Genomic DNA, 11948 nt, shown 5'->3' with positions numbered 1-11948 from the left:
CGATCTCATGCCAGTTAGAATGGTAATCATTAAAAAACCAGGAAACAACAGATGCTGGAGAGGATATGGAGGAATAAGAATGCCTTTACACTGTTTGTGGGAGTGTAAATTAGTTCAACCGTTGTGGAAGACAGTGTGTCGATTCCTCCAGGATCTAGAACTAGAAATGCCATTTGACCCAGCAATCCCATTACTGGGTATATACCCAAAAGATTATAAATCATACCACTATAAAGACACATGCACAAGTATGTTTATTGTGGCACTATTTACAATAGCAAAGACTTGGAGCCAACCCAAATGTCCATCAATGATAGACTGGATTAAGAAAATGTGGCACATATACACTATGGAATACTATGCAGCCATAAAAAATGATAAGTTCATGTCCTTTATAGGGACATGGATGAAGCTGGAAACCATCATTCTCAGTAAACTATTGCAAGGACAGAAAACCAACCCACCGCATGTTGTCACTCATAGGTGGGAACTGAACAATGAGAACACTTGGACACAGGGCGGGGAATATCACACACCAGGGCCTGTCTTGTGGTGGGGGTATGGGGGAGGGATAGCATTAGGAGAAATACCTAATGTAAATGACCAGTTGATGGGTGCAGCAAACCAACATGACACATGTATACATATGTAACAAACCTGCACATTGTGCACATGTACCCTAGAACTTAAAGTATAATAATAAAAAAAAGAAGACTAATCAAAATTTAGGGGCTCCATTTTTCTAAACAATGTTTTCCCACACATATTCATTTCAACTTTCAATGTTCCATTCTTTCCCAATCAAAGACTTCACTTACCAGTAGAAACACTATGAGGTTGTAAAAGTTCACCTTGCATTGTGATTCAGAAAGTTTCAGGATAAGACCCTGAATTTGATGTTTAGCATTCTCAGTCCAGTGGTGATAGGAGAACTGTTTCCTTAAGGGCACACACATTAGATTCAGGTCATTTATTGAGTGCTTGAGCTGGAATTGGAATTTCCAAGCTCATTATTTCTTTCCTCACTTTAGCAACTTTAGGTGCAACTAGCCAATCTCATTATATGTCTTAGCTTGGCATCATGTTTAAAAGTATCACATACACAATCACTGAAATACTTGCTTTTTATAAGATGTTGAGCAGGAGCATCCAATGCTAATATTTTGCATATCTCTATTTTCAAATTCCATTATGGACCATTAGTATACTCTTTACTACTGCAAATAGACTCATGATCATCTTTAAATCTAATCAGAGGGTCAATTTCAAAAACCCCAGGATCAATTAGAAAACTCATCCTTAAAATTATGTTTCCCTAGCACCACTCTTGGTACCAAAATCTGCATTAGTTGGGGTGGTTCAGAAAAACAGAGCCAATAGGATGAATAAATATTCTTATAGTTTTATAAGGAATTGACTCATCTAATAATGAGGGATGAGGCACCCCAATATCTGCATTCATAATTATGCAGATCCAGAAAAGCACATGGTGCAGTTCAAGTCAAAAGGCTGCCAGGCTCAAGACCCAGCAAGAGCTGATGTTTCAGCTCAAACCTCCAGGCTGGAAAAAAAAAAAAAAAGTGAATGTCCAGCTAAAAGGCAGCCAGTCAGGAAGAGTTCTTCCTTATCCACATGAGGGTCAGCCTTTTGGTTTTACTCAGGTCTTTGACTAACTGAGTGAGAATCACTCATATTGGGATAGGCAATATGCTTTACTCAGTATACTGATTCAAATATTAATCTCATCTAAAAACACCCTAACAGCCACACCAAAAATAATGTTTATCAAATGTCTGGCCCAGATAAATGGACATATAACATTGAGAATCACAACTATAAACTCAATATAGTGTGCTTGTATTTGCTTAATTTAATTACTTTACAGAAAGCTAGGTATTGTTCTTTTACTAATTAAAAAAGAAGGGGTATATCTTGACTTGTTTAAAATAATAAACTTTTAAAATATAGTCATAAATTAAAACTCATTTTATTTGAATTAATATTTATGTGTTTTTTATTTCACATATTTCAGTTGGTTTTTGTTTGTTTGTTTGTTTGTTTGTTTTTGAGATGGAGTCTCACTCTGTCTCCCAGGCTGGAGTACTGTGGCACGATCTCGACTCACTGCAAGCTCCTCCTCCCGGGTTCACGCCGTTCTCCTGCTTCAGCCTCCCAAGTAGCTGGGACTACAGGCTCCTGCCACCATGCCCGGCTAATATTTTGTATTTTTTAGTAGAGACGGGATTTCACCGTGTTAGCCAGGACGGTCTCGATCTCCTGATCTTGTGATCCACCCGCCTCGGCCTCTCAAAGTATTGGGATTACAGGCTTGAGCCACCGCGCCTGACCTTTAGCTGGTTTCTAAATGAGCATGAGATTAACAGAATAAGATGGAAAATAGTTTTCATTTTTATTATTTCATACGGACAACTGGACTGGGAAAGAGGTTGGTCTTATGAAACTGAGATATAAACTTTAGTGAGCAATATTGGAAAGATCAGCTGTAGAAAATTATGGCATGCCTTCTATGAGATATGAAAAAGCATAGATTTTATTTTGCACATAAGCAAGTGTCATAAATTGGAGAATGCCTAACATTTAATAAGAAAAGTCTAGATTTCTAAAATATGAGTTTCGAAATGATGATTAATTATGGAATTTTTAAATAAATCACATTAAGTGAAGACAATCTGGAAAAGGGATCTAGCAGTGGAATGCAATTTAAGAACAGCTGTGAAGAAATTTTAGAAGCATAAGACTCAGTATGTAAAGAACATGAAATTAAAGAAGAATACTTGGAGTTTTTAACCTGGAATCCTGATTTATGATGATGTCAGTAATTACCAGAAAGTTTTAAAATTTATCACCAAGTATAAATTAAATAAAGTTGTTTCATGTTGCTTTGTTTTCTGATATTTATTAACAATCTGCTGATATTAATAATAAATTGAGTAATTTAAAGCTTTTATACATACAATCACATAATTCTATTGGCAACACTATGAGACAGGAAGTACTTTTTTTTATGTTGTATTTATGTGGTGATGAAACTTAAAAAATTTACTTAGGATAATATATGCAATAAGTGGCAAAATCAGGTTTTAAATTAAAGTACTCTTTCCTCACAGCCTGCAGTCTTCAGTATTATTTTCTGCTGCCTCTTAAATAAGAGTATCTTATATATATTGAGCATTTTAAATGGAACAGATATTGCCCTAAGCATTTAAAATATTAATTAGTTTAATCACATTATTGCTAGGAAAAAAATAATTTCTTTGAGACAAATATTACTTTTTTTTTTACACATTATCCTAAGTTATCTAGTATTTTATTAAATAGAACTTCTACAGTTTTCCAGGAAACTAGAGGAGCTAAATGTTTACCATATTAAGTAAATGAATAATAAAATGCTATAAGCCTACTTTAGGCCAGTCACAGTGACTCATATCTGTAATCCCAGCACTTTGGGAGGCCCAGGTGGGCAGATCACTTGAGGTCAGGAGTTCGAGACCAGCCTGGCCAACACAGCGATAAAGATAAGAGAGATTATCCTAGATAAGCTGGGGGGGGCATTATTTAACCAATGGAAATGCCTCAGAAATAAAGCTGAGAATTCACTGAAGAAAAAATTCTACTTGCAAACTGCAGCTTCAACTCATACTCAGTTTCATCCTGCCCTTCCTTATGGACTACCTATGAACTTCCTAGCCAGCCTTCAAAATCACATATGCCACTTCTTTCTAATAAGTTCCTTAATCTATGTATCTCCTACTGATTCTCTTTCTGTGTATCAAACCTTGTTGATACAGATTTTGATATCAGAAGTGATTCTAGAAAAACAGAATCTTAAGTTTCTTGAATTAATTCTTGGTTTCTGTTACTGTTATTCTATTCTGATTAGATTTAAAGAAATAATGACTCTATTTCCAGTAGTAAGGAGAGGACTGACAGTCCATGGCATGATGTGATAATACAGATAGGCAAAATATCACCATTGGATACTCCTAATCAAATACTTATAAAAGGTTCTGGGTGACCATATATTTGACAACATTTTTGTCAAACTAACGAGTATAATGAGATTGATTAGTTGCTCAGAACTGCACTGGAGAAAGTAGAAAAAGAATAAATTCAGGATTTCAAATTCCCATCTCAAGTTCTGCATAAACGAATTAAAAGCTTTTATGTCTGTCATAAATAAAACCCTTATCTCCTGTAGCCACAGGGCTGAAATTATTGAAGACCAAACCCACAGCCTCATCCTGAGAGTGGCTAAATTGCATCAGACATTGAATTCCCAACCTTGCAATGCATCTTCAGTTAAATGCAGGCATTAAATGAAAAGGAATGGGAGCCTGATAATTGGAATGGGAATACATGAGCAGAAATGATCCCACTAAACAGAGATTCTGGATTCTGTATTTTAGCTTGAGAATGTAAAAGGTCTTTAACAGTTTGTTTGGTTATCTGAAACATGGAGCAAAAAGCAGCCTACACTAAATCAAGATTAAATGCCAGAACTGCCTTGTTATACTGCAAAAGAAGACGTCTAAAGGTTTAGGGATATTGGAATGTTATAGAAGATTTATAAAGTAAAACCTGCTCACCCATACCAAGTGCATCCAGAGAATACATCTTTCATTATGACCATAAGAACATAAGTTGTGAGAGGAGTCTCAGTATTCTTGAAGAACTCTGTGGTAGCTCTTCTCTATAGGTCAAAGATAACAGTGGAAATTGCTACTAATGAGCGGAAATCCTTAAATGTAACAGGGTTAATAGCATCCCAGAGTGACACAGGCCAAGTGGGGGTACCTAATTACCAAAAACAGTGTGGTTATGGTTACCGTGATGGACAGTAAAGTCAAAGCAGCAATCAGAATAGTCTGACTCACAACACCTATAGTGCTTGCTTCTGGACCTTGATGTAACTAGAAAACAGATAAGCAATATACTAATTTTACTTCATTTATTTATTTATTTATTTATTTTTGGACAGGCTCTATTGCCCAGGCTGGAGTGCAATAGTGTAATCTCAGCTCACTGAAACCTCTGCCTCCCAGGCTCAAGCCATCTTCCCACCTCAGCCTCTCAGGTAGCTGGGACTACAGGCGTGCACCATCATGCCTCACTACTGTTTTTGTATTTTTTGTAGAGTTCGGAGGTGTCTCACCTTGTTGTCCAGGCTGGTCTTGAACTCCTGAGCTCAAGCAATTCAGCTGTCTCAGCCTCCTAAAGTGCTGGGATTACAGGTGTGAGCCACCGCGCCTGGCCAATATACTAAATTCTTAATTGATATGTATAAATGAAAATGTCTGGGTCAAGAGGAGAGAGCATGGCTAAGAGCCTATCTGCTGGCTTTTACTTGCATGTTCCATCTACTGTGCTAGAGCCTGAATTACACCAAACAAAAATTTAGTGGTTCAATACACAACACCTATGAAACCCACCTCGGGAAACTCTACAACCAAGGAAACTATACAAAAGCTTGGCCCTCTAAAAGCACCCTGAAGTCAAGTGAACAGAAGTTTCACTTAAATCACCAAAACAGGGAATGATGGCTCCTTAATCTATTTTCAGGTATGAGTCAGTTTACGGACCCAGAACTTCTTGATTAAAGGGGAGGTTGGGACCCGTTGATTGAGGACTCTGCTACATTGCTAAATATTTATACTTTAATCTTTCTCTCAGCCTTCCCAAAAGGAAACTATGGACATTTATCAAGGTGACTGTGCAATGGGGAAAGGGAAGTAATCTGAATTCTGGGGAATTATTTGACACTGGGTGTGAAGTGACATTAATTACAAGAGACACAAAATGTTAGCAGAGTCCACCAGTCAGAACAGGAGTTTACAGAGAGCGGGTAGGCATTAAAGCTGTTGCTCAGGTGTGTCTTATACTGAGTTCAGTGTGTCCCCACACCAATCCTATAGTTATTGCACCTGCTCTTACAGATGTAGGTTCATCGCTTGAGCAAATTAACATATTTCCTGGTACTTTGTATGCAGCTATTAATCTGGCAAATGCTTTTTTCTCACTACCTGTTGATCGACAACAAGAAGTATAGTTTCAGTACCCTGTCTCAAAGGTATATCAACTTTCTACTCCTATGTCATAATTTATTTTAGAGGAACATTCATCATGTTTTTTTTTGACAAGTCATTATGCTGATCCATTATTACTTTGATGGTTTTATGCAAATTTGACCCATTGAGCAAGAAATGGCAGTTATTTAAGATTTATAAATAAGAAATTTATGTTACAGAAAGTGGAAAATTAATCTGACAAAAATACAAAGATCTTTCACTTCAGTAAAATTTCTAGGAGATCAGTGATGTATATGTAGCATGTCAAGATATACTTTTTAATAAAAGTATAAATTCTTGCATCTGGCTGAACCAAAAAAGAGGCACAATGCCAAGTGAGTCTTTTTGGATTTAGAAGGCCACATGTTTGCCATTTGAGTGTGCTATGCCAGCTCATTATTGAGAGATGTAAAAAATTGCTGAATTTGAGTGGGGTCCACAACAAAATAAGCCTTCTCAACAGTTCCAAGCTGCCATGCAAATTGATTCTATGCTTGAGCCATGTGATCTAGCAGATCCAATGATGCCTTAAATATCTGTGGTAGATCAAGATACTGGTTGGATCCTTTGGCAGGTGCTTACTGATGAATCACGGAAACGATCCTTAGGATTTTGAAGCAAAGCTCAGTTATCCTCTGTGGATAACTATTATCTTTTTGAGATACATCTTTGGCTTCCTATTGGCCTTAATAGAGACTAGAGACTAAATGTTTACCCATGAGACACTGAGTTAGCAAACAACCAGAGATGCCCATCATGAACTGGGTATTTTCTGACCCACCAAGCCATAATTTGCTCAGCAGCTCTCTATTTTCACATATGGAAGTGAAATGTATGAAATTAGCCTATACCTATGGCTTCCTGGGAAGTTTCTTATGATCAGTTGACCGAGCAAAATAAAACTCAGGCCTAGTTTATGTGATATGCAGGTAACATCTGAAAGTGGACAGCTGAGCATGATGGGTCATTCCTGGTACATCCCTGAAGGAAAGTAATAAAGTTGTTAGAACTTGCTTATACATTTTGCTTGGAAGACACAATTGCCAGAGGTATTAGTAGATATTGATTCATGAGATCTAGCCAATTGTTTGGCTGGATGATCAGGGACTTGGAAGATATTTAATTGAAAAAGTGGTGACAAAGAGGTCTGGGGAAGAAATATGTGGATCAACCTCACTTAGTAGGCAAATACTGTGAAATATTTTGTATCCATGTGAACGCTTATGAAAGGGTGACCTTATCAGAGTGGGATTTTAATAATTTTAGTAATTTTCAAATTAGTTTTAAAAATTACATGGATAAGATGACCTATCATAGCTACCTGTCATCCTCTTTTCTTAGCCATAACTGCCACTGCTCAATAGGTTCTTAAAGTGGCTACAGTGGCAAAGTTAGAAGTTATGCAACGTGAACTTCCTTTCACCAAGGAGAACTAGCTCCAGCCACTGCTGAGTGCCCAGTCTTCTAATAGCAAAGACCAACACTAAGTTCCTGATATGGCACCATTCCCCAGGATGATCAGCCATCTACCTGACAGGTTGATTATATCGAGCCACTCCTGCCATGGAATGGGGTAGCATATTGTTCTTACTGAAATAGACACTTAACTCTATTAGGTTGGTGCAAAACCTAACTTCAAAAACCGTAAATGCTTTTTCACCAACTTAATAGATACGTATTTGCCTTTCCTGCATTCAATGCTTCTGACAAAACTAGCATTCGTGGGCTTATAGAATGCCTTATCCACTGTCATAATATTACAAAAGGCATTGATTCTGACTGAGAAACTCACTTCATAGCAAAAGAAATGTAACAGTGAGCCCAAACTCATGGAATTCACAGGTTTTACCAGATGAATGGAGCTGACTTGATAGAACAGTGGAATGGCCTTTTGGAGGCTCAGTTATATAACAAGGTAGTCAGAAATTTTGCAATGCTGGGACAAGTTTCCCCAGAAAGCTCTGTGTGCTCTGAGTCAGCATCAATATATGGTGCTGTTTGTCACATAGCCAGAATTCACAGGTTTAGGAATCAAATAGTCAAACTGAGTGTGGCAGCATTCACTATTACCACTAGAAAGTTTTTACTTTCTTTCCTTATAGCTTTATGTTTTGTTGGTTTAGATATCTTAAAGAAAGAAATGCTTCCAAAAGGAGGCACAAAAATGAGACTGTCACCTGTCACTTTGGTATCCTCATGTCTCTGAATCAATAGATAAAAGGGACTTTCTATACTTACTAGGGTGATTGATCCTGACTTCTGAGAAAATATTGGTTTGCTATAGCTACACAGTGAAAGTAAGGAAAAATATGTCTGAAATACAGGAGAGCTCTTAACTCATTTCCTAGCATTGCTATGTCTTATGATTAAAGTCAGTGGAAAACTACAACAACCCAGCTCCAGCAGGACTGCTGATGGCCCACACACTTCAGTAATAAAGATTCAGATTACCTCACCAGGCAATGACCCACAATCAGCTGAGATACTGGAATGATAGTAGAAATGGTGGTTTATAAATATTAGCTATGAACCCACAATCAGTTGTAGACATGAGGACTGTAATATTTATGAGCATTTATTCCTTGTTTTTAATGAATATTTATATATATGCATATATATATGAAAAATTTCTTTTCCTTTCAAATCTCTTTCCATCTAACATGAGATATACTACTAACAGTTAACTTTACACCACAGTATTTAAGTTACAGGATATCAGGGAGAAAAGTAAACATTGTATAAGGACTATGATCCTTCTCTGAGGAAATGGCCTCCTTTACCTGTTGTTTCAGAGACATTAGGAGACCAAAGAGGCTTGTGACAATCTCAATTTTTAGTTCAATGGGATCATTATTGTGCCTCCTGGTGGAAGCATTTCTCTCTTTGGATTAAGACATCTAAACCTACAAAACACAAAGCCATAGCCATAGTGCACTTTTGGTTATACTCAGATAGTTATAACATGTTAGCTTGAAAGTATGACTTTGTTACTGTCTTTAATTGGAGATTAAGCTTGGTCTTAAAAGATGTACATGGATGTCAAGTTGACAAGTTTTGGACTTTAATGGTCAGTTTTATGAGTCAACTTGGCTATCATATCATACCTAGTTATTCAATCAAACACCTATACCTAGATTAGTATAATCAACATGCACAGTCAGTGGACTAAAAGATTTTCTTAGATAATCTGGTGGGTCGATTCAGTCAGTGAAAGTCCTTAGAATGGTACTGAGTTTTCCTGGAAGAAAAAGTATTTTACTGTTAGAGTGAAGCTTTTGCTTATGGTTGAGAATTTCCATCTTTTCTTCCTGATGTACTACTCTACAGATCTTTGACTGACTAGGGGGCTCTAGAATTGTTTAAGCCAAAACTTTACAATAAATCCCTTAATTTATATCTTCTACTGGTTCCATTTATCTGGCTGAACTATGACTGAAAATGTTAGTTATATATTTGGTGGCACATCTAAGATTAAACAATAACCCAAACATACAATGAAATTCCCTCCCCCAAAAATTTCATAGTCTAAGTATTAGACTGAGTTATATAGATAGACATATCTGTGCATTGGCTCATTTAAACTCATTCTGTAATTATTTCATTCCAGAAAAAAATAACCCGACACATTTATAGATCAATACAAATTTGAATAAACCTGACATCATTAATTTGCTTTAAAAAATTATTCTAGAAAAATATTAACTGAACCCAGTTAAGGCAACTGAGGGATATATGGAAAAGGTTTATACAAGTTAAGTGAAAATCAGACTTAATATTATAGAGATTACAAAAAATGAACCACATCAATGTGGCACACACAACATTAAGAATGATAATTTTACGATACCATTCGTGAGATAAAAAAGACATAGCAGGAGAATAAAAATTAGAGCTGAAGAAAATAACACAACATTGTGAATAGCTATGGTTCTTACATTAACGAAAAAGTGATGAGCTATAATATGCATGCTCATGAGCTCTTATCTATCCATGCCCATTAATCTCACTCAGTTTGAAGGATATCAAACCAACAACTTCTTAAGAAAGAAACACCAGTCTCCTGATAGTCTCTACAGTTTCTGAAATTTATATAGGAATCAACAGAGAACTTTGCAAAATGAAATTCCATTTGCTCTTCTGATCACAATTCGATATGAAAATAAAAGAGAAAAAGAAAAGAATATAAGGAAATTGAGCTAGAATAACACATTGAAAAAGAAAAAGCAGGTATCATCCCCAGAAACAATAAATACATCTTGAGAAGCAATATGGTGATTCTCTCTGTAAATGTACCTTCCTTTTTCTTAAAAACTGTGAAAGCAAAATCAAATGATTTGCTTTGTGCACCTGGCACCAGACACAATTAGTAATTTTTGAGTATCCTTAGGAAGCACAGCTCTTTTGGAGAATGTAAATGCTTTCAGCTCATTTCAATAAAAGACGCTCTGTCCCTTTTTGAGACAACGGATTTGGAGCAGTTAGATAAAACCAGGCTCCCTATGCTCAGAATGTGATTACAGCTGCTGTGTGGGCAGAGAACAGAGAGCACAGGGGCCCTAGACATCAACCTGAGCCCTGTGATATGCTTTGGGTTAACAAGGGGAAACTCAGGTGATGCTTCCAGATTTCACAAGGCAGTTAGTGCAAATAGGAATCACTGAACAAAGTGGGGCTGCCTTCATTCTCCAAGTCAGTTGCAACAATGGCATCAGGCTGCAGCCTCAGGTACACTGAATTGCTAATTAAGGTCTTAGCATATGGAACTTGCAGCAATCTCACTTGTGTATACTAAAATAGGAGAAAAATCTTATGAAACTACAGGAAGGTTTTTGCTTAGCTTTCTCTCAAAATGACAGAATAAGTTGTTGATGCTTTTTGTCTCTGCCTGCCTCTGAGTTATGAAAATAGCATTTTCAATTTCGCACATTATCTCTTCAGCTATCACGAACAATGCGGTCCATTTTCCTCAAGTTCCTTGTCATCAGCAACACCTGGAAGCAAGTTGAAATTTAGATTGTTTTGCTTTGTTTTATTTATGTTTACTTAGAATGTTACACTTTTCCGACAAAGAATTCTTTAAAATCTAAGATCACATTCAAATAGGTAAGCTATTTCTACTTCTTTTAAAGTTAAGTATAACATCAAAATTAATAGAACAGGGAGGAGCCAAGATGGCCGAATAGGAACAGCTCCGGTCTACAGCTCCCAGCGTGAGCGACGCAGAAGACGGTGATTTCTGCATTTCCATCTGAGGTACCGGGTTCATCTCACTAGGGAGTGCCAGACAGTGGGCGCAGGCCAGTGTGTGTGCGCACCGTGCGCGAGCCGAAGCAGGGCGAGGCATTGCCTCACCTGGGAAGCGCAAGGGGTCAGGGAGTTCCCTTTCCGAGTCAAAGAAAGGGGTGACGGACGCACCTGGAAAATCGGGTCACTCCCACCCGAATATTGCGCTTTTCAGACCGGCTTAAGAAACGGCGCACCATGAGACTATATCCCACACCTGGCTCGGAGGGTCCTACGCCCACGGAATCTCGCTGATTGCTAGCACAGCAGTCTGAGATCAAACTGCAAGGCGGCAACGAGGCTGGGGGAGGGGCGCCCGCCATTGCCCAGGCTTGCTTAGGTAAACAAAGCAGCCGGGAAGCTCGAACTGGGTGGAGCCCACCACAGCTCAAGGAGGCCTGCCTGCCTCTGTAGGCTCCACCTCTGGGGGCAGGGCACAGACAAACAAAAAGACAGCAGTAACCTCTGCAGACTTAAGTGTCCCTGTCTGACAGCTTTGAAGAGAGCAGTGGTTCTCCCAGGACGCAGCTGGAGATCTGAGAACGGGCAGACTGCCTCCTCAAGTGGGTCCCTGACTCC

At 37.9% G+C, this 11948-nt stretch overlaps 1 annotated feature.

The window, feature by feature from the left end:
* Window positions 10931–11530: an enhancer, noted in NCBI's record as "OCT4-NANOG-H3K27ac-H3K4me1 hESC enhancer chr4:137220416-137221015 (GRCh37/hg19 assembly coordinates)". NCBI's record gives its function as "activates a minimal SCP1, AML or CMV promoter by ChIP-STARR-seq in primed H9 embryonic stem cells {active_cell/tissue: H9 hESC(primed)}" and the evidence as "EXISTENCE:reporter gene assay evidence [ECO:0000049][PMID:30033119]".

The sequence above is a fragment of the Homo sapiens genome, chromosome 4, assembly GCF_000001405.40.
Source record: "Homo sapiens chromosome 4, GRCh38.p14 Primary Assembly".
NCBI lineage: Eukaryota > Metazoa > Chordata > Mammalia > Primates > Hominidae > Homo > Homo sapiens.
The sequence above is the reverse complement of the archived record's forward strand: the minus strand, read 5'-3'. Positions and strand labels throughout refer to the sequence as shown.